The 23,213-nt window shown below is 39.0% G+C and overlaps 2 protein-coding genes across 5 annotated transcripts in view, besides 3 other annotated features; both read left to right on the plus strand.

Moving 5' to 3' along the window:
* The window catches only part of CHURC1-FNTB (CHURC1-FNTB readthrough), a 148,295-nt gene continuing 125,116 nt past the window's right edge, over nucleotides 35-23,213 (plus strand). Inside the window, exons 1-3 of one of the 2 annotated variants that reach the window (NM_001202559.1) lie at nucleotides 35-208; nucleotides 9,665-9,800; nucleotides 11,684-11,754. In NM_001202559.1, coding sequence (NP_001189488.1) covers nucleotides 89-208; nucleotides 9,665-9,800; nucleotides 11,684-11,754 — 327 coding nt within the window. In that variant the 5' untranslated portion in view covers nucleotides 35-88. The remainder of the gene's footprint in view (nucleotides 209-9,664; nucleotides 9,801-11,683; nucleotides 11,755-23,213) is intronic. The other variant, NM_001202558.2, reaches the window with a different exon arrangement.
* Nucleotides 129-398: an enhancer, noted in NCBI's record as "active region_8538". NCBI's record gives its function as "activates an Ori minimal core promoter by ATAC-STARR-seq in GM12878 lymphoblastoid cells {active_cell/tissue: GM12878}" and the evidence as "EXISTENCE:reporter gene assay evidence [ECO:0000049][PMID:35858748]".
* On the plus strand, nucleotides 129-21,042 carry CHURC1 (churchill domain containing 1). Of its 3 annotated transcripts, none has more exons than NM_145165.4 (4): nucleotides 129-208; nucleotides 9,665-9,800; nucleotides 11,681-11,754; nucleotides 17,812-21,042. In NM_145165.4, exons 1-4 carry the CDS (start codon nucleotides 170-172, stop codon nucleotides 17,902-17,904), a joined length of 342 nt encoding a protein of 113 aa, NP_660148.4. In that variant the 5' UTR covers nucleotides 129-169; the 3' UTR covers nucleotides 17,905-21,042. The 3 variants fall into 3 exon arrangements, with proteins under 3 accessions (NP_660148.4, NP_001373857.1, NP_001190993.2); NM_001386928.1 differs by having other exon boundaries at nucleotides 11,684-11,754; NM_001204064.2 differs by lacking the exon at nucleotides 11,681-11,754.
* Nucleotides 12,152-12,352: a silencer, noted in NCBI's record as "peak2167 fragment used in MPRA reporter construct". NCBI's record gives its function as "represses an SCP1 promoter by STARR-seq MPRAs in K562 erythroleukemia cells {active_cell/tissue: K562}" and the evidence as "EXISTENCE:reporter gene assay evidence [ECO:0000049][PMID:32103011]".
* Nucleotides 14,679-14,748: an enhancer, noted in NCBI's record as "active region_8539". NCBI's record gives its function as "activates an Ori minimal core promoter by ATAC-STARR-seq in GM12878 lymphoblastoid cells {active_cell/tissue: GM12878}" and the evidence as "EXISTENCE:reporter gene assay evidence [ECO:0000049][PMID:35858748]".

The following is a 23,213-nucleotide window of genomic DNA, read 5'->3' on the forward strand; positions in this document are numbered from 1 at the left end:
GTGCCCTGCCTTGACAACAGTTGCTAAGGGGCGGAGACTTCGGCTCGGTTCCCGAGACGGAATACCCAGGAGTCGAGTACTTGGGCGCATGCGGCAACCGTATCTCAGTTCTCGCGAGGTTTCGTCTTCCCGGAAGCGTTGGAGGACATTCCCTGTTGACTGCGTCGCGATGTGTGGCGACTGTGTGGAGAAGGAATATCCCAACCGGGTGAGCGACTGGGCGCTCCCTTGGCCCGCGGGCGGCCCCCGAGGTGTCTCATATCCAAGGCTGGCCTTCCCAGAGAGGCCGTACGTGGGGCGGACTCGGCCGCACTGCCGGTCCCGGTGACCCAGTAGCGGTATTTAGGCACACCAGGGATGGCCTGTGGCGGTCTGCACCTCTGGTACCCGCCCTGGCGGCTGACCTCAGTTGTAGTGGCCGTTCTCTTGAGCTCCAAGGAGCAACAGAGGAACCCCACCACCACCACAACCCCCGTCGACAACCGAGGGACTCCCCCACCCCCACTTCCGGTCTCATCCTCAAGCTCGATTTGATGAAGTACAATTTTCTTACCGAATTCTAGCGCTGGAGGGGACCTCTGTGGTCATCTGTTCTAACACTTTTGCAGATGAAGAAACCGATGCCCAGAGAGGGGAAATCACTTGCCCAAGTTCACATTCTAGTTGCATGGATGAGAGCCAGGACTAGAATTTAGGTTTCCTGCCTGTTACCGCCTTCTGAATCTCAGTTACTTTCAGGTTCAGGAGTTTGCAAAGCTTGTCTATTCTCATTCATTCAAGGCATCCTTGTTGAACATTTATATATGTGTAGTTAGATTACTTTGCTAGGCCAGAAAGGGATTATTTCTCCTCTCTTTGAGACAGGGTGCTGCTGTTGCCCAGGCTGGTCTCAAATTCCTGGGATCAAGTGATCCTCCCGCCTTGGCCTCCGAAAGTGCTGGGATTACTGGCATGAGCCACCACGTCCAGCTGGATTATTTGTTTCAGAGAAGAAATTAAAAGGCACCTTTGGTGCTGCCTAACAGCTTACAGTTTTGGGGAGTATGTGACTAACAAAAAATGAGTAGCTCAGTTCAGAAATGCTATTCAAGTTTAGGGAAAGGGGAGGGCAATAGGGGATAGTGCTGTTCTCCCCTGAGAAAAGGTGGACATCATCTAAGACTTGAAGGACAGTTGTAATTAGGGTAGAAAAGAAGGTGAGGAGCTGGAGGATGGGGGAAAATTACAGAAATGGAATTTGTGCATTGGTTGGGAAGGAGGGAGAAAGTCTCTGTAGTTCCTTATGTCTTAGTATCTTATGGGTAATACTTAGGCTTTTGAGTAGCATGTATAACAGTATGAATTCTCCTGTAGTACAACTACTTTGAAAAAGCGGGTGAGCCTTATAAAATACAGACATGACCCAGTGATTCCCATTCTAGAAAAATGCATGTGTATATGCTTCTGAAGACTTTTATAAATAAGTGTTCATAACAGCATTATTTTTGTAGTAGATTGGAAAAGTAACTGATACATTCATTAGAATGGAACACCATTAATGAATGAGGAATGGAAGTGAATGAATTAGAGCAGTAGTTCTCTACCAGGAGTGATTTTTGGCTCTTAGGAGACATTTGGCAATATCCAGAGACATTTTTTGGGTGTCAAAAGGGGAAGTACTACTGACTGCTAATGGGTGATGCAAGGGATGCCGCTAAACATCCAGCAATACATGGGACAGCCACCACAACAAAGTATCACTCCCAATGTCAATAGTGTGGAGGTAGAGAAACCCTGAATTATAGCCGTGAAACCAAACTAGAATTACACAGCAGCCTGAAAAGTCTTACAAATAGTGTTGATGAAAGAACACATAAAGTATAATTCAAAAAGAGGCAAACCAAAATATATTATTCAAGGATGTACCTGGGTGGTAAAACTGTAAGGAACGTATACAATTACTGTTAAGTCGAGATAGTGGTTACTCCTAAGGGATTAGGGTGTGATCAAGAAGGGTCACATGAGAAAAAGTCTTCCCGGGTGCAAGCAGTGTTTTATTTCTTGATTTGGGTGGTGGTTCTACAGATGTACACTTTATAATCATTTCTTGTTCGCTACATTTATGTTTCATGTACTTTACTATGTACTATTTCATTTTTTTAAAGTTTAAAAAGATTTTTATGAAACCAGTAATAAACATGAGCTATTATGAGACCATGAGGGAGGAGTTTGCAGTAGAGAATATTAAAGAGATTAGGTTGGATTCTTTTTTGTTGTTGTTTTTGTTTTTGAGATGGAGTCTTGCTCTGTCGCCCAGGTTGGAGTGCAGTGGCATGATCTCGGCTCACTGCAAGCTCCGCCTCACTGGTTCATGCCATTCTCCTGCCTCAGCCTCCCGAGTAGCTCGGACTGCAGGTGCCCACCACCATGCCCAGCTAATTTTTTTGTATTTTTAGTAGAGACAGGGTTTCGCCTTGTTAGCCAGGATGGTCTCGATCTCCTGACCTCGTGATCCACCTGCCTCGGCCTCCCAAAGTGCTAGGATTACAGGCGTGAGCCACCGCGCCGGGCCTTAGGTTGGATTCTTAAGAGTGGAGTTATTGTAAAACTTAAAAGTCATATTGAGAAGTTTAGAGTTTACATTTTAGGCATTGGGCCACCATCAAAATTTTAATAGAGAAATGATTCTGAAATCTGTTATTTAGGAAAATGAATCTTATGGCTGAATGTTGAAATGGTGGGGTAGAGGGTGTGTAAAGACAGAACTCCACAGGGCATTTGAGGAGCCATGGCAACAGTGGTGTAGGCATGAGATAATGAAGACCTTATTTCAAAGAAAGAATTAGGTTGGGCACGGTTCTCACACCTGTAATCCCAGCACTTTGGGAGGCCAAGGCAGGTGGATCACTTGAGCCCAGGAGTTTGAGACCAGTCTCAAACATGGCAAAACCCTGTCTCTACAAAAAATACAAATAGTCTGGGCACGGTGGCTCACGCCTATAATCCCAGCACTTTGGGAGGCCAAGGCTGGCAGATCACCTGAGGTCAGGAGTTCGAGACCAGCTTGGCCAACATGGCGAAACCCCGTCTCTACTAAAAATACAAAAATTAGCTGGGTGTGGTGGGAGGCGCCTGTAATCCCAGCTACTTGGGAGGCTGAGGCGGTAGAATCGCTTGAACCTGGGAGGCAGAGGTTGCAGTGAGCCGAGATCACACCACTGCTCTCCACCATGGGTGACAAGAGCAAAACTCCGTCTCAAAACAAATAAACAAACAAAAAAAAACCACCACAAATATTAGCCAAGCGTGGTGGCATGCACCTGTAGTCCTAGCTACTTGGAGGTTGAGGTGGGAGGTTGCAGTGAGCCATGATCGTGCCATTGCACTCCAGCCTGGGCAACAGAGCGAGACCCTGTTGAAAAAAAAAAGAATTAACAAGATTCAACCTGTTTAATGTAGAAGTGAATAAGGGGAGACCTATACATGATCACATGATCTCAGGATTTTCAATCTAGGCAACTGGGATGTTGGAAGTATCATTACAGAAATTGGAGGCATATGGGAAGAAAAAACAAAATTGGGGACAAATGGTCAAATTGTTATTAATATCATGCTTCACCTGAGGTTGAGAATATCCGAAGGGTCAAGTGAAGATATAAGACTGCAGTTTGGGTACAACTATGTAGATAGATGAGTCAGTCAAATACAAGTGTCAAAATAGGATTTGTTCTCTGAGGAAAAAAATGTAGAGAATCAAGGACTGAGCTCCAAAGACTAAATTAACTTCAGAAATGAAAATAAAGTATAAGGAAGAATAGTAGAAAAAGGGATCGAGGTGATTGGAAAACCAGGAGAGTGCCTTTCAAAGGCACTTTTCTCTGATTTTATTCTGTTCTAAAATAATTAAAAGACTGTCATGAAGAAGAATTAAACTTTTCTTTGGAATTTTAGAAGGCAGATTTAGAAATAATTAGTGGGTGGATGTTACGGGTCTTAGACTTTGAATCAGAATAAAGAACATTCTGACATTTCAAAATGGAATGAGTAACTCTTAAAGGAATTAAGCTCTCTTCCTATTGTTCAGTAGAGACTAACTGACCATTTGGAATGTCAAGGATCCTTCCAACTCTGGGGTTCTTTGAAGTCATGACCTATTTTTAAGTGCAGTAAGAGCAGAAGCCCACTGCTTTGCTCAGCTTTGCAGAAGCTTAGCAAAGGGAAGGGTAATAAGAAGATGGTGGGCCGGGCCTAGTGGCTCACACGTGTAATCCTAACACTTTGGGAAGCCGAGGCACAAGGATGGCTTGAACCCAGGAGTTTGAGACCAGCCTGGGCTACATAGTGAGACCCCATCCTTATTAAAAATTAAAAAACATTAGCCAGGCGTGGTGGTGTGTGCCTATAGTTCCACCTACTTGGGAAGAGGCTAAGGCAGGAGGATTCCCTCAACCCAGGAGTTCGAGGCTCCAGTGAGCTAAGATCACACCACTGCACTCCAGCCTGAGCAACAGAGCAAAACCCTGTCTACTTAAAAAAACAAACAAACAAAAAATCATTTGTTGGGAAGCTCTAAGTGTAGAATGAGTAAGTAATAGTTAATTATTTATCTTCGATTACATAAAGTTGTTTGGAGTTTTGTCATTTATTTTTACAGACTAGAAATATATAGTACTGAATTCTTAATGGGGCTCTGGCCTACTTGCTTATACTGTTAACACTGAGAATTTGAATTCAAACATGAGTCAAGTTGGAATGAACCATACTAATTTTCTGAACCCAAATGTTTTTTAACTCAATGGTGAACCACATTTTTTTTTTCCTTCAGAAAAGCATTTAGCAAACCAGTCAGAACTAGAACTCTACTACATTTTCTAAAATTACTGAACAGGCACAAAATTGTAATCAAATATTTTTCATATCAAACTGGAAATGAAACATTTCATATATTTTAATTTCAGCTTGAAATTTTGTTAGTAATGCAACAGGAATACAGAAATACATTATGAATCAGTGGGAAAAAATCAATGTTAGTGATATGTTTAAAATTACTTGTTTTGTATTTGTCATTTAAAGCTAAGCTACCAAACTTCATATATTCAAGTTGTTGCTTAGTAGATAACATTGAACCAGATTTAATTAAATGCTGAGTAATATATAATTAGCAAAACAGTTGTATGTAAGAGTGCCTTAAAATGATACTCTGCATCTTAAAATTTATAGTTATAAGTGCCTATATTTAAAAAGTATACTTTTCAATCAATTACCTAACCTTCCACTTAAGACAATGGAAAAATGGGCCAGGTATGGTGGCTCACGCCTGTAATCCCAGGACCTTCGGAGGCCGAGGCTAGCAGATCACTGGAGGTCAGGAGTTTGAGACCAGCCTGGCCAACATGGTGAAACCCTGTTTCTACCAAACAATGCAAAAATTAGCCTGGCATGGTTTTGTGTGCCTGTAGTCCCACCTACTTGGGAGGCTGAAGTGAGACAATCACTTGAACCCAGGAGGCGGAGGTTGCAGTGAGCCAAGATTGCGCCACAGCATTCCAGCCTGGGTGACAGAGTGAGACCATGTCTCAAAAAGAAAAAAAAAGAAAAAGACAATGGAAAAAAAAGAGCAAACTAAACCCAGAGCAAGCAGAAGGAAGGAAATAATAAGGATCAGAGTAGAAAATACTGAGAGAATACAGTAGAGAAAATCAATGAAACAAAAAATTGGTTCTTTAAGAAAAACCGTATTTTCCATTTTTAAACATTCCCTGGCAAAATATATACATTAGCTATTAACTTGTATCATCTGAAATAATTTGCTGGAAAAAAAATTGATCCAGTCTTTATCAGAATAATTACAGCTTTCTCGTAAGATTTTATAACATACTCTCATATTAATTATTCTTACAGTTTTCAGCCATTTCTTCTTGCACACTTGTATACCTTTACAAATCCTTAACCAGGATTTATCTGAATCAGATTTTCTAAGGGTACTAAACATGTCGACTTTTTTCCTTCTTTAAGCTGTTATGGTCTACTGTTATTATTGTGGAATTGATTTGAATTGCATTCTTTTCCACCTATTATGGGAGCCTGAAAACCTTCCCTGAATAATGTGTGCTTTAGTTTACTTTCCCAAATTTGGATGTTAATAGTCTTGCCTCATCTAATAAAAGAACTGTGCCTCACTGATGAAGGTTACTCTTGCTGCTTTCAAATGACCAGGGCTCTTAAAGAAAGTCCCATCCGCTTCTTATATACTGTACTTGTATTTTGCCATTTGAAGCATTTACTTACCAGACAACAGATACATAGATACTTCTCTTCCTTCAGTGTTTTCTTAGACTCACATTCAGCCTACTTTCATGGTCAGATTACAGAGGCTAGGCCACGTTGTGCAAGGAACCTGTGTCTGTGGATGCAGTCCAGTTCAGAGTTATATTTATTTGAAATTGGCATTTAGATCTTTTTAAAAACTGTTTTGTTTTCCTTAATTTTTTGGAGTCCTTGGCAGTCAGATTTTATAGATTCCAGGCAGTCCCAATTCAAACTCCAGTAGACTTTTTTGTAAAGTGTGTAAGCTCATGTTAAAATTTACATGAAACTGAAAAGAACCAAGAATAGCCAGATTATAGGACATAAACTACCTGATTTAAAGACTAACTATAAAAACTATAGTAATCAAGAGAGTTTGATATTAGTGGGAAGGTAGATATATGTATCAAGGGAACAGAATAGTCAAAGCAGACCCACATATATATGGTCATTGACTTTTTTCTACAAAAGCACCATTGTAATTCAGTGGGGGGAAAGACAGTTCTTCAACAAATCTTGCCAAAACAACTGGAAATCCATACGCAACTAAATAAACCTTGATCCTTACCTCATATATAAAATTATTTCAAAATGGATTATAAACCTAAATCTACAAACTAAAAGCTATAAAACTTCTAGAAAAAAATGTAAGAAACTTTGTGCAACCCTGGGGTAGGCAGAGATGTCTTAGGAGAAAAAAAGTATAAATTATAAAAGAAAAAATGTTAAATTGGACTTTATGAAAATCAAAACTTGTTTGCTCATTAGAAGAAACCATCAAAAAAGGCAAATCAATGACGGAGAAAATATATTTGGGAAAAAACTTGTATCTAAGATATATAAAGAACTCTTACAACTCAAAATAAACAACCTAACTTTTTGAAAATGGGCAAAAGACTTGAATGGACATTTCATAAAAGAAGATACATGAATAAGCACCATGAAAAGATGCTCAACATCATTAGTCATCAAGGAAACAAAAGTTAAAACTACAATGAGATACCACTTTACGTCACTGAATGGCAAAAATAAAAAGCAGTACCTAGTATTGATGTAGCTATAGAGCAACTGGAACTCACACATTGCTGGCAGGAATGTAAATTGGAAAACCATTTGGCAGTTTCTTGTAAAGTTAAATATACCATATTTTTACCATATTAGCAATTCCACTTCTACATATTTACCCAAGGGAAAGGAAGACATGTATCCATCCAAGACTTGCACATGAATCTCTATAGCTGCTTTATTCATAATAGCCCCAAATGGAAACAACCCAAATATCTACCAACAGCTGAATCCTACAGGGAATACTATTTGGCAATGAAAAGCAACAAACTACCAGTACCTAGAACAACAGTGATGATGAACATAGGCATTATATCGAGCAAGGAAAATTGGATGCGGGAGTATACTGATTCTGTTTATATAAAATTCTAGAACGTGCAAGACTGGAGATGGAAATCAGATCAGTGGGTGTCTGGGGTGGGATGGAGGTTAGAGATAGACTGAAAAGCATGAAGGAACTTTTTGGGGTGGATAGAAATGTTTTATACCTTCACTAGGGTAGTGGTTACATGGGTATATACATTGGTTAAAAGTCATTCACCTATGTATACCCTTACAGTGTGTGAATTTTATTGTATGTAAATTGTACCTCAGTAGATTTTATTAAAAAAAAAATCAAAGGCTGGGCACAGTGGCTCATTCCTGTAATCCCAGCACTTTGGGAGGCCGAGACGGGCAGATCACGAGGTCAGGAGATCGAGACCATCCTGGCTAGCATAGTGAAACCCCATCTCTACTAAAAATACGAAAAATTAGCAGGGCGTGGTGGCGGGCACCTGTAGTCCCAGCTACTTGGGAAGCTGAAGCAGGAGAATGGCATGAACCTGGGAGGTGGAGCTTGCAGTGAGCCGAGAGTGTGCCACTGCACTTCAGCCTGGGTGACAGAGCGAGACTCCGTCTCAAAAAAAAAAAAAAAAAAAAAAAATCAAAGCAAAGCATTTGTTCTTAATAACTGGAAATGTATACTTTAATCCTAAGGCCCTTTTCCCTTTTAGTAGTTAAGGCAGTACACCTATGATTTAATAACTATGTAGTAATGTCTTGATTTCTCCCACTAGAATTAATGTCTTCCTCAATACATAGAAGGGAGAGATTCCTCAATATATAGAAGGGAGAGATTAATTCTCCCACCAGAATTAATCTCTTCCTCAATACATAGAAGGGAGAGATTAATTCTGGTGCTTGGAATCCAGAAAGACTTCCTAGTGGCATTATTTATGGTGGATCTTAATTTCGCTGATGCTTCTTAAAACTCCTTGAAGGTAGCAACATGTTTGGCTCATCTTTGAATCCTCTGTTGTGCTTTGCACAATATCAGACACAGATGCACTGGAGAAACGTTGATTTGAGTGATTTTTAATCACATTATTTAAAAATACTCTTTAAGTGTGTTGCTGAGAAATGGGATTGGACTAGATTATTTATAAAGTGACTTTTAATTATTAATTATTAGCCTTTAGCAAAGACTTCCTTTGGGTCGGGGACGGTGGCTCACAACTGTAATCCCAATACTTGGGAGGCTGAGGTGGGAAGATCATTTGAGCCCAGGAGTTTGAGACCAGCCTGGGCAACATAGCAAGACCCCATCTCAATTACCAAAAAAAAAAAAAAGGCTTCCTTTGAGCCAGGAGCATAAGTTATTTAGAATTTCTTTTTTAAAAACTTTTTTTGAAAATTTGTATAGTTTCTTAGTAAAGATGTAAAACCCATTCTCTCTTAAATGCCATTGTGTCAGTCTTACGAAATGAAGAACTTAAGCTTCTCTGCCTCAATCATGTGTATCCTTAAGGACTGACATCTATAGAGCTGAGAGTTTACTTTTGTTTATTTTGTATTATGATCAAGGATCAAAACTATTTGAACAAACAACTAAACATCTATGTAAGATCATCTTTATCATTGACTCAGTTTCTATTTTGATTGAATTTAATTTTAGTTGGTAAGCCTCGTTTAATATTGTTGGTTATTAAATTTTTCTAATTTTCTATTTTCATATTTTATATTAAGGTTTCCTTAAGTTGTTTCTAAATATCTATTTTCAGTTTATCCTCCCTTTTCAACATAGTGGCAGTCCTTACAGACTTAAGGATCTAACACTGCACTTTAGTTGCTTTTTTTTTTTTTTTTTTTTTAACATGAGTAACACTTCTTTAGGAAAGCTAGTAATTTCAAAAATTATTTGGTATATGACCTAGAAGTAAATGCTGGCCATTTTTTAGTTTTGTTTTGCCTTTAGACATTTTAAGTCTGTTAATCATCTTCACTAAAGATTTTGAAATGTAAAGAAATTAAATTCCTGTTTCTGATATTTTAGGGTAATACCTGCCTGGAGAATGGATCTTTCTTACTGAACTTTACAGGCTGTGCAGTGTGCAGTAAGCGGGATTTTATGCTGATCACAAACAAATCCTTGAAAGAAGAAGATGGAGAAGAAATAGTTACCTATGATCGTAAGTAGACTTTATTTTTTAACCTGAGTGTGTTAGCAGGTGTCAGCTTTTGGAAGTCGATATGTTACACAAAATATTCTGAGGCCTATTTCAATATTGTATTGCGCACATAATTACTAGTTAGGTCTTTAAGAGGAAAATGTCATTAACACCTCATTTATCTGGGATATCAAATAGTCTATGTAAATGACTTTTGCAGATAACTAAAGCTTACGATTCAGGAACTGAATTTTTTTTGTTTATCAAATTATTTTTCACGGACATATTTTTAAAAGCTTTATGCTGCCTTAACAAGATATACTTTTTATTATTGTTATTATTGTGACCTTAGGGTCATCCATGTGAGTTTTCACTTTTCTGCTACAGTATAATACCATGATATCCTCCAACAGCTATTAAAGTGTTTAGGGCTGCTTGTCCCTATACTAAATGACTTCAGGAATGCAGTGTTTTTTTCAGTCTTGTTTCTGCTCAGAATGTCTAGCTTTTTTTTTCTTCTCCAATCTCACTGTCAGTCTGTTGTTCCTTACTTTTGCTGCTAAATAATAAGCTGCCTTCCTATCCTTCTTCTCGTCCTCAATACTGGGAAACCAAATAAACTATGTATAAAAAAATCAATTCTGAGGTTAGCACTAAGGATTTCTGTAAGTTAAGTATATGTATACTTCAGTGCCCAATATTGTGAGAAGTATTTAACTGTTCACATTCCCTTTTTGCTTGTCTCCTGGTTCTTGGGTACCTTCTAAACACATGAGGAATAAATGTACAGGTAATGGTATTTTGTCAGAGGAGTTTGAAAGACAGCAGGCCTTTAGAATGGAGTCAGATAATAATAAATGTTCTAAGCTAGAAGAATCTTTTTCTTTCTTTTTAGCATATGTTTTCTTTAAGCTGTATTTCATTCCAGGCAGTAGGGCATAGTGGTTTAAGAGCAAGGGCCCTGGAGCTAGGCTGTTTGGGTTTGAATTCTGGTTCCAATACATCCTGGCTCAGTCGTCTTGCTAGTTACTTAACTGAAGTATGCCATTGTTTCCTTATCTCTAAAAAGGTGGTGATGATACTATCTACCTCATTGGGTTTTTTAGAAGATTAAATATTTAAAATAGTAAGCACTCAATAAATCATCGTTTTTACTAGATTATTTTGTTACCATTAAATTCACTTTAATGCCCAGCTTTGGTTTTTATTTATGATTGGATATAGTAGCACAGTTTATATTATTCATGATAATGAAAGCTTTTACATAGTTAAATAGGTCCAGCTGGGATGGGTGCGGTGGCTCACGCCTATAATCCTAGGACTTTAGGAGGCCCAGGAGGGTGGATCACTTGAGCCCAGGGGTTCAAGACCAGCCTGCTCAACATAGTGAGACCTCACCTCTACAAAAATTCAAAAAAATTAGCTGAGTGTGTTGGCACATGTCTTGAGCCTCTCCTGGGCTCAAGTTATCCTCCCAGCTACTCAGGAGGCTGATTTGGGAGGATAACTTGAGACTGGGAGGTTGAAGCTGCAGTGAGGCATGTTTGTGTCACTGCACTCCAGCCTGGGCAACAGAGTAAGACCCGGCCTCAAAAAAAAAAAAAAAAAAAAAGAAATTGATCTAGCTAGTTTAAAAATACACTTAAATATGTTTTAACTGCTTCTCTTAAAGAACTTTTGGTGGCAATTAATAAAAGCTCAGACTCAGAATTATGTAACGTTGTTATGTGGCAGATTCTGAATCTTTTAAAAATCAAGGTAGATACTATAATGGGTTTCCTCCTATGTTAAATATGACAGACTTAAGATTCTCTTTAAATAATATGCTGAGAATAGAAATTTTAATAGAAGTTTTAAGAAACTCTCTAAGACTTAATTACGTAAGTCTCTCTTTGTTTTAGCAGATTTGTGTAAGAATTGTCATCATGTAATAGCCAGACATGAGTATACATTCAGTATCATGGATGAATTTCAGGTAAATATAAATATGGGTATAAATATAAATATGGGGAGGTTAGGGGAATAATAAAAGTGCTCTTGAGAATCTAAATACGGTTTTCATAAGTGAAGTGCAAAGCGTTAGCATATATTAAAGGAGACTATGCCTTTTTTTTTTTTTTTTTTTGAGATGGTGTCTTGCTATGTTGCCCAGGCTGGTATTGAACTCCTGGGCTCAAGCAGTCCTCCCACCTCGGCCTCCAAAGTGTTGGAATTACAGGCATGAGCCACTGTGCCCAGCCCCATGCCTTTCTTATATCTGTGCAAGTTGAGAGACAGACTTTAGATGTGGGTGGATTTGTGTAAACCTGTCTTCACGAGAATCACAAATCAAAATGTGTAGTTTACAAATGATATCTCAGCCCTGTCATTTTTGTTTATAAAGAATAGTAGCACATTCTAGCTTCTTATGAGATTACCATTGTGCTGCTTTTTTTCTGCCCAGTTACGTGATTGCACAGTTGTGGGCTTTTAAGTGGTGTCCTGTCAACTGCCACCATACTTGCCCAGCATGGAAACTGTGATAAGGAGGTTTTCTTTGTTTTCCCAAGTTGACATGTAGAGTTGAACAACTCTGCAGTCTCATTTGTGGTAAGACATTATAGTATTGTTAAGTAAAATTACAAGCTGTGTGTACCATGGTTGGAGGAGAAACACAGAACCACTGTGAAGCTGGAGATTAAGAGATTTATCATAAGGATTAATCCTTACACAATTGTGAGAGTATGTGAAGAATTCTCTGGAAGGTTGATATAGGCCTGTAGTTGCTGAAGATACACAGGTCTGACGGTCAGAAAGAAAAGCTGGGCAGTCGGGGAGAGCCAGGGACAAACTGAAACCTATCTCTGTCCCTCACTGCCTGTTTTCAAGCCTTCAGGTTGAGTTACTTATTTTGTGTGAACTACATATTTGTCCATAGGATATAAATATCAGGCTAGAGCTTTTAACAGCCGAGAGAATTTTTTCAATTCCCTTCACATTTGGATAGTACTTAATTAGGAAAATAATAATAATCTTCCATAGCAGAATCATAAGATAGTAAAACCCCTCTTATTCCTTATTTTAGCATGGAAGAAAGTGCTTAGTCACCTGTCAGAGTCTGGTCTGATATGTTGTGGTTAATCTAAAATAACATCTTGACTATATTTTATATTTCTTCAGCATCCAAAAATTATGCCTCAAGAAATATTTATATGATATGCGTAACTTAGGGCAAAATTGACATCTTAGTGAATGAGTAGTGGCCGCATAGGGAGATGAGCATCTCCTGGGCTTAAAGAAACAGTCCTATTCTTTTATGGGAGGAAAGGAGTGCTTATAGCTATTTTCAAGACACTCCTGAATTTCACGTGAGTTATGTACAGCTCCTGAACGGATATTGAGGTTGCCTGTTTATGTCCTAACCAAGCCATTGTAAATTAGCTAGACCAAAGTCTAGCTGATTTTTCCTTTTTGACTGAATGCAGCCGTTTTCAAAGCTGCCCTGGAAATTACTCTGGGACAGGAAGAAGGTAAAGGAAGGTGGCTTGTAGTCACGATGCAAGAAACTATGAAATGGTGGTGAAAATGATTCTTAAACTAGACTCTCTACTCCCAGTCTACTTCTCCCCCCACCCCCCCCCCCGCCGTCAATTCATACTCCATACTCTACCATCATATTAATTTTCTTAAAATAATGTTTTCAAAGCTGGGCACAGTGGTGTGTGCCTATAGTTCGAGCTACTCAGGAGACTGAGGCAGGAGAATCTCTTGAGTCCAAGTGTTTGAGTACAGTCTGGGCAACATAGTGAGACCCTGTCTCTACTAAAAAGTAAAAATAAATACTTTTGGGTGACCTCATTGGCCTTCCCATAGTGCACCTTTAGCTACAGTACAATATCCAAGCTCCTCATTTCAAGGTTCTCACTGGACTGGCCCAGCTTCCCTTCTTTTATTTCCTGCTACTCTTTCATATGTACACCATACTTAGCATTGTCCCAACTTTACTCTTCCTTCTCTCCTGTTAGAGAGAAAGATTTTTATTTACCCCTCTCTAATGCTACCCCTACTGCATTTCCTCAGGAATCTCATGTTATCGTCTTTCTTTCCAGTGTACTTTGATTCATCCTGTAATCATTTCTTCTTCCTCTTGCTTCTTTAGTTGAACAGGTTGTTTGTTTGTTGCAACAAGGTCTTACTCTGCCGCCCAAGATGGAGTGCAGTGGCCTGATCACAGCTCCCTGCAGCCTTGACCTCCCGTGCTCAGGCGATCCTTCTGCCTCAACCCCTCGAGTAGCTGAGACTACAGGCACTAGCCTCTGTGCATGGCTATTTAAAAAATTTTTTTTGTAGAGATGAGATCTCACTTGGTTGCCCAGGCTGGTCTTGAACCCCTGGGCTCAAACAGTCCTCCTGCCTCAGCCTCCCAAAGTGCTGGGATTACAGGTGTGAGCCATTACCTGGCCACTTGAATGGGTCTTTACCCTATTTTCCTTATTTTCCTATACTCCTCTTAAGTACCTACAAAGTGATTTTCATTTTCTCTGTGCTAAAACTATTCTCTCATACGTTTCCTATAATCTAACCACATCCTGTGACTGCCTTAGTTCTTTTCTCTCTTACATGGCTTCTGCATCTAGTTTTATTAACTATTGTTGTCTTTTTGAAGCATTTCTGCCCTTGAGGTCCAAAGTGCTTGACTTCTTTCCTTTTTAAATCATTTTAACTGCTCCTTTGTGTTTTCTCTTAGTTTTCTTTCCTGTTTTCTCGAAGTGATACTCCTCAGCTTTTGTTCTGTGGTCTGGAACCTTCTTTATGCTCTCTCTTGTAGTGAACACACATGTACTCAGTCTCAGTAGAGACCTATTAGATACCTTTCTCATTTCCTTCTCTAGCCTTCGTGCCTACACCCCTCATCCCCTCTTTTTTTTCTTTGTTTTGCTTGCCTTTTCTCTGACTCTGGCACCACACCTCATGTCAAGGACCATAACCATTGAAGGCTGAATTACTGCAGCATTCCCCAGACTGCAGTTCTGCACACTGCCATCAAGTTAATCTTCTTAAACATGTCATCCTCCACTCCCCTGCTGACAAACCAAATGTAGCTTCCTTTCCCTTTTACTCCGTAAGCGATGCGCATGCTCTTTTCCATATTGCTGTCCATATTCATGCCTTTTCCTTGATTTGAATATTCCCTCTCTCTACCTTCAAGCCAACTAAATCTTACCTCTTTCTGCCTGAACTCAAATTCCATCTCCTCTTTGCTCTTCAAGCCTATGCATCTTCTCCCTTTTCTGAACTTTTCTTGTACCTATGTCAGGCCCTGACTCTAGTGAATAGCCACCTGGGAACTTCTACCTCAGCCTAATGGCCACAAGAACCCTCCATTCTCAGCTGCCATTACTTACTGTCCTTGTCCCCACCCTACCCCAGCCCCTCATCCTATCCTGGCAGTAGTTCAAGTTCAAGGTGGGATTCCCAGCCACCATTGTTGTTTTATATTAAACATCTTATAGGAGATTTAAACATAGTCCAAAGTAGGCAGAATAGTGTACTAATGTACACTACCCATCTTCAAGTTGCTTTATTTATATTTCACCATTCTCATATCCCCCCATAGGATTATTTCAAAGCAAATTCCAAACGTATCACTACCTCTTTAAATACTTCATTAGTCTCTCTGAAAGATAAGTATTCTGTTTTTAAAACAACCATAATGCCATTATTAAACAAAGTAGGATTTTCTGATGGCAAGACTAGGGAGAAAGTGGAGACAGAGGGACAGAGTTTACATGGAAAATACATGATAAATTATTATAGGTATCCTTTATTTAAAAAAAAAACCCTCCTAGCAAAAGCCCCCCCCCACACACACACCAAAATTGTGTGTTTACTTCAAGAAACAAGACAGAAACTATGAGACTGCTTTCTATTCCTCTGTGGGCCAGGGAAGGAGAAGACTTGGAGTCAGAATTAACAGGGACTAATAGAGGAAGAGAGTAAAGCTAATAGAGAAAAAAGTAAAGCCCTCAGAATAAAAAAAAAAAAAAGATCTGGTCTTACTCAGAGGTAATTCCGCCCACTCTGCTCTTCCCTCCAAATATTTTCCCCTAGGCCCTGCCCAGTTGGAGCCTTTGAGAGTCCCTGTGAATGACTGGGGGAATTATTTTCTGTACTTGGCTGGTTTTGATAAAAGGTGTCCTAATCTCATCATATTCCTGGCAGCACGAGGAGATCTGTTCCTGGCATCCCAAGTTAGAATTCTAGACATATTTTCCCACAGAAGCACTTCTATATATGGTTAGATTCTATGGTGCTTGAACAATATAAATTTAAAAGACTTGTGGATTTTCCTGGGAACCTAACCGCCATGTATGACATTACTTCTGTGGGAAATTGCTTTTGAATTCCAAATAATTGACTTGCAATGAAATTTGGGTTCCAGACTGCCTATAAAGATTACAGGTGTAATCAGTCTCACTGATTTAATAGTCTTGCCAGATTATATGTTAGGTTTTTTCCCCCTCCCAAGTTAGATTGCAGATTGTATAAAGTCAGACTTTGTTCTTTCATGTCTGCCAGCACATTGCAGAGCATGTAGGCACTCAGTATAAATTTGTCAATGGCTAGATTGGTTGAAAACTCAAGTATTTGTTTAGCCTCACACATTTTCTCTTTTTGACTCTTTACTTTTTTCCTTCTTCTTTTCCTGTAAAAGGTTGCCATCCAAATAGCAATGCCTGGTGGGTTGAAGCAGTGGAAGTATTTGAGAACAGTAAAAGACCTTGAAGAGGATGTATTTTTATTTTATTTTTAATTCATAAAGCCATCTTTCCACTGCCACAACTAAGCTCCCCTCCTGAACTCACCAGTAGAAGATGGAAAAGGCAGTTGCCTGCTTCTATTTCTTTGTACCACAGTCATTGTTTACCTCTGTGGCCCTCTCTAGTGACTGTCTAAACCTAAGAAACACAAACTGCCTTGACTGATCAATTTCCAGACAGCTAGCAAACTTAGCATCAGGTGTGGAAATTCTAGAAGACTTAACATAGATGTTTGTTTTTGTACAGAGAAAAAGGCTTTTAAATGAAAGGTTTCAAAGAAATATGTCTCTGTAGTTTATGACTGTTAAATATTCTAGAAAGGGAAAGCTATAAGAATAGGACTTTGGGCTGGATGCAGTGGCTCACACCTGTAATCCTGTCACTTTGGGAGGCCAAGGTGGGAGGATCACTTGAGCATAGGAGTTTGAGGCCACCCTGGGCAACATAGTGAGACCCCATCTCTACAAAAAATTTAAAAATTAGCCAGGCGTGATGCCGAGTGCTTGTAATCTCAATTACTTGGGGGTCTGAGGTGGGATGATCACTTGAGCACAGGAGGTCAAGGCTGCAGTGAACCATCATTGCACCACTGCACTCCAATCTGGGCAACACAGTGATACCGTGTCTAAAAAAAAAAAGAAAAAGGACCTTGCCCTAAGGGTTTTTGCCTAAAACAAAATCTCCTCTATTACCAATCTGGGCATTTATTAAGCCTGGGAAACAAACTTCTTAAATGGATCAAATTCCCAGACAACTAGCCATCTGAAAATGAGGCAGGACATACTAGTGAATTTAACATAATTGTTTATTTTCCTAGGGTAGATAAAAATAGCTTTTTCAGTTTGGGAATTTTCTCCTTTCAAAAAATTGTTTCTGTTGTGTATTAGTGTTAAATATGCTAGAAAGGAACAGCTGTAAGAATAGGAATTTGTCCATAGGGACCCACACTCAAATTGCTTCATTACTTTAAATAGCACTAAGCTAAATATATGTGCTTTCTGAGAAATAGCCATGTATTTCCAAGATGACATTTATGTATCAATTTATATAAACAACAGGCTCTGGAATATACAGAATAAGCCTAAGACATTGCTGATACATGTTGAAGAAATTGATCCAATGTACAGAAAGAATATTCATGACAATTTGTAGAGAACATCTTAACTAGAGTAAGTTATAAAGCATCTTTTTCCCTGTTCCTCTAGGTAATTATGCACTTTATCTTGTTCTAGGAGTATACCATGCTGTGTCTGTTATGCGGCAAAGCCGAAGATACTATCAGTATTCTCCCTGATGACCCCCGACAAATGACTCTCTTATTCTAAGGATCCTTCTACAGATCTGTTATAACTATATTGTGTTGGTTTACAATACAGCAAGCCTGATGGTTTGTCTTATTTCATTCATACTGAAAATTCTTTGCATATTTTTTTTCTGCTTAGACTTACTTATTCTTTGAGGAAAAAAGGTAATGTAGGAGCTCATTGTTCTCTAGAGCTGAGCTCTTCTGCTAAAGTTCAAAGTTCACATCAGTGTAGCCAGAGTGAAGCATCTTTGTTAGCAGTTATGTGGTCAGAAAACAACTAGAATGGGAGCACACCTGGTGCCCAGATTTTGGTTTCCAATAAAAGGAACCAGGACTCCTTAGAAAATGAACTGATTCTAGAACTGGGATATGAACTGTACAAGATGAGCCTAGAGTATCTTGTGCCACAGAAAAATGAAGTACTGAAATTAAAAAAAAAAAATCATAGTGATTGGGAGTATGTCAGCATGATCGAACTGAAGGATCTCTGAAAGGCCACAGCTGGAGCAATTTGAGTAACAAAATAAAGTAGTATTGGGTTATAACCCAAACTATATAATAAATATTTACAAGCCCAAACTAATATAAATGATTGAATGGGAACAAATCTCTTGTGCAGAAGAATTTCAAATAATTTATGTAGATACTCCCCACTTAGTGGGCTCTGCATAGTGACTTCCTTGCAGAGTATAATATGGAAAGGGGGGAAAAGAGTAACTTTACAGTGGAGAAATCTGACAGACACCAGCTCAGCCAGGTGATTGAGGTTAACATCATCCATGATAAGCCCTTTTGATAGCATGTATCCTTGATAGCATCACATCATACAGAATGTGATAAGAATGGCACTTTACCTCTGTGGTCCTCCTCCCCAGAACTCAGAACCCAAGTCTGATCAGGAGAAAAACATCACACAAATTCCAATTGAGAAGCATTCTTTAAAATACCTAACCAGTACTTCTCAAAACTATCAAGGCCATAAAAAACAAGGAAAATCTGAGACATGGTCACAGCCAAGAGGAGCCTGAGAAGACATGACTGCTAGATGTAATGTGGTATCCTACATGGAATTATATACCACGAAAAGAAAAAAAGGTCATTTGGTAGAAACTAGGGAAATCTGAATACAGTGTGGACTTCAGTTAATATAAATGAGAAAATGGTTTCATTGGCTTTAAAGGGATTTTAGAATATCTTACTTTGCATAGTTTCATGAGCACTGGCCAGGAGGTTATAAACTGGCATTTAGGCCTCTCTGCCATTTAGTAGCAGTATAGTCATTAAGCAAAGCATTACTCTGGACTTTATTGTCCTGTTTCTATCAAATTGGACTAACAAAAATTGATATAATACATTCATCACAGTATTGTTAGGAGATTTAAATGAATTAGTGAATGTAAGATACTTTAGAAAGCATGTAAAGTACTAGAAACAATGAGGTGGCTTCAATTAGTGCTCATTCTGAGACCTAAATTTAAAGGGTCAGGCATTAGAAACAAAAGTGTTTCTTCATATCTAGGAGATTTGGAAATTCTGAACTAAGGTCTTATAAGAACAAGAAATGAGCAAAGTGTTCATTGTAGATACTAGGGAAAAGCTTTGTTGAATAACAGTAATGATGATAATATCTGAGCTTTATTAAGTACTTACTACATGCTAAGAGCTTTTTAAGCACTTATTTAATCCTCATTAACAAATTCATAAGGTAGGTGCTATTGATAGTTTAGCCATAACCAGATATGGCTTGTTATTTGTAAGTTATCATGAAAAGGTTTATATTCACTATTCTTTATTTCAGTGTAGCACTTTTAGAGCCAAAAAAACTCAGGCACAAAGAAGTTAAATAACTTGCCGGGTGCGGTGGCTCACCCCTGTAATCCCAGCACTTTGGGAGGCCAAAGCAGGCGGATCACCTGAGGTCAGGAGTTTGAGACCAGCCGGGCCAACATGGTGCAACCTCGTCTTTACTAAAAATACAAAAACAAAAATTAGCCAGGGGTGGTGGTATGCACCTGCAGTCCCAGCAACATGGGAGGCTGAACAGGAGAATCGCTTGAACCCGCGACAGGGAGGTTGTGATGAGCCAAGGTCATGCCACTGCACTCCAGCCTGGGAGACAGAGCAAGACTCCATCTCAAAAACAAAAACAAAACAAAACAACAACAAAAAAAGAAGTTAAATAACTTGTTTAAGATCACACAGCTAGTGCAGTTACCCCCTCTCAGTAATTATGTTTGGCAAATATGAAATACAAGGATCTGGCAAGGTTAGGAAGAGGTTAAGAATATCAGTGACAGTACTCTGAGGCATCTGGGCATGTCAGATGAAGATTTATTATTCAGAAAAGTTAAGTCAGCTGTTGCAGGGATCAGTTGTTTTATTCCTGGAAAATGTTTTTCATTTTGCTGCAAATCTATATCTGACCTGCTGAGGAAATCGTTTGGTGAAATGAATCCAGAAAGCAGAGAAAATGCTTCATTACTTTAAATAGCAGCATTAAGCCCATTATAGCCTCTGAATTGTCCCTTCCTTGAGTTTGCTAATGCTTCCAACTTAGTCATTTGAAGCCCAAGAGTCTAATTTTATATGCCCTGCCAATGTCCTCATCTATTGCAGAATGTATAATTATCTATTTGTTTTGGACTATATGTTACAAAAATTTAAAACATAAGATCCTCTCTCTATATTTCATTATTGGTGAACCCACATTGTGCTGTGTTTTGTGATATTTTATCATTTTCTAGATTCTTATGTGGATCTAATAACGACCACTTGAACCCAGTTTCACAGAATCCTTATTTTTCTGTTCAAATTAGGAATTAGGGACATGGATGAAATTGGAAATCTTCATTCTCAGTAAACTATCGCAAGGACAAAAAACCAAACACCACATGTTCTCACTCATAGATAGGAATTGAACAATGAGAACACATGGAGACAGGAAGGGGAACATCACACTCTAGGGACTGTTGTGGGGTGAGGGGAGGGGTGAGGGATAGCATTAGGAGATATACCTGATGCTAAATGACGAGTTAGTGGGTGCAGCACACCAGCATGGCACATGTATACGTATGTAACTAACCTGCACATCGTGCACATGTACCCTAAAACTTAAAGTATAATAATAATAAAATAAAAAAAAAGGAATTAGGCAAAACATGGCTCTTCTTTTTACTTTCCTTCCTGAGATATAAGAAGGAAGAGAAATCACCTGTGGGGATAATTGGAAACATGGGGATAATTGGAAACGTGGGCTTATCTTGGCACCTCCTTTTTCTCTAATCATTCTGTGATGTACAGGTCTGGCTAGTTAGGCTCCTGAAGTTAAAAGCTCAGCCACTATTTGTTGTTTTGTTTGATCTAGCTCTTTCTCACATGGTTTTAGGTTCTCCCAGTACTAATTTAATTGACATCAGATAGCTTGGGCACAACCAGATATGGCTTGTTATTTGTAAGTTACCATGAAGAGGTTTATGTTCACTGTCCTTTATTTCAGTGTATCAAAAGTCCTTTCGGTTTCATTCTTTCATGTTGTGAGCAGGGCTAGTTATTTGAGGCGCTCAATTTAAAAATGTATGTTTTTTTTTTACTGTAGTACAAGACTGTTGTAAGATACAGTATAGTTGGATAGAAAAGGAATTAAAAGATCTGGGTCTAGAATTAGCTTTGTCACCTGCTAATGATGGGACACTGAGCAAGTCACTTATCCTGTCTGTACCTCAGTGTCTTCAGTGGAAAACTAGAAACCATCATGCCTCCACAGAATTTTTAAATCTAATGATTTTTAAATCTAATGCTGTGTGCAGGCAGCTGTCAGTGGTCTTTATGAAGAAAAATCTGAGCTAGAAGAAAGCACTGTTGTGTTATGGTTAAGAGTAGAGGCTTTGGAGTCAGACTGACCTGGCTTTAACTTTCAGCTTTGCTGCTTCCTAAGCTGTGTGTCCTTGGCAAGTGTCTTGCCCAATTACCTTTTCTTTTAATAGAAATAACAATTTTTCATGGGATCTCTATGAGGGTTAAATAACCTAGTGTATATAAAGTACCTAGCCCAGTCTGTGCCCATAGTAAATATTAAATGAATGGTAGTTTGGATGATGGTTGTGATGGTGATTATAATAAAGTTCTAGAGTTTGACTCAGTGTTTTTGAGACAAGGTCTCATCCAGGCTGGAGTGCAGTGGTGCAATCATAGCTCACTGCAGCCTCGAACTCCCAGGCGCAAGCAATTCTCCCACCCTAGCTGCCTGAGTAGCTGAAACCATTACAGGTGTACATCACCATGCTCAGCCGATTTTTTTTTTTTTTTTTTAATTTTTTGTAGAGACGAGGTCTCACTGTGTAGCCCAGGCTACATAGTGAGCTCCTGGGCTCAGGCCATCTTCCCGCCTCAACTTCCCAAAGTGTTGGGATTATAGGCTTGAGCCACCATACTGGGCCTCAGTGTCTCATAAACTAAGGAGAGATAGCTATGGGAACATAGTCATGAAGATAATTATCGATTTCAGTGTCTTTACCCTGGCCTCCTAAAATCACTTGTTCCAAGCTCTGGTTTTTTTGTTTTGTTTTTTGTTTTTGTAAGAGCCCTCAGGTTAGTGATTCTCTCTGTCCCTCCTCTGAGTTGAATAGCATTATCTCAGCACTTCTGGGAGAGTTGTTAAGGAGACTTCCCCCTCCTTCTGGGTGCCCCTAGGGAAATCTGATTAAAAGATTTTTGTTTATCTAGAAAAGTGGGTGATATTTTAAAGCTTTGCCTTGTCTGTTTATGATCACAAGCTAATACTTCTGAGGATGATAAGGGGGACAAACAAGATGAAGAATAAAGGAAAGGAAACACTTTCTAATTTCTCTTCATTTTAACAACAGCACAACTAAATATTTGGTAAACCTAAACATCCTTTTAAAATAGAATCTTCCAGTCTTGCCTTCCCTGTTTCCTCCTGAGCTGAATAGATCAGGTTCTGTCTGAAGCAAATAGTGTTTCCCCTCCCAAGTGAAGAGCCTTCATTCTAGCTTTATGGCCTTCTCTTGACTTTCTGCAGAATAACTTATACTGTAATTCCCATTCCTTTGGGAATCCCTAAATAATTCTTTGAACTTGGGCCTCAAGGGAAAGACTGAACACATTGTACTGGTGTCTCAGGCTCTAAGTTGCCTGTGGCATGTTTCCAACACCCGAGATAGCTGGCTCTGTTACTGGATGTAACAACAGGCTATGGTACTGTCAAGGTGATGACTAGCATCCAAGAAGAATTCTCTATTTTGTCAGGAAAGCAATTTGTCTGCAGTTACTGCTCTAAAATCAGTACATGGTCCTGCCCCATAATAATTC

Source organism: Homo sapiens, chromosome 14 (genome assembly GCF_000001405.40).
Source record: "Homo sapiens chromosome 14, GRCh38.p14 Primary Assembly".
Lineage (NCBI taxonomy): Eukaryota > Metazoa > Chordata > Mammalia > Primates > Hominidae > Homo > Homo sapiens.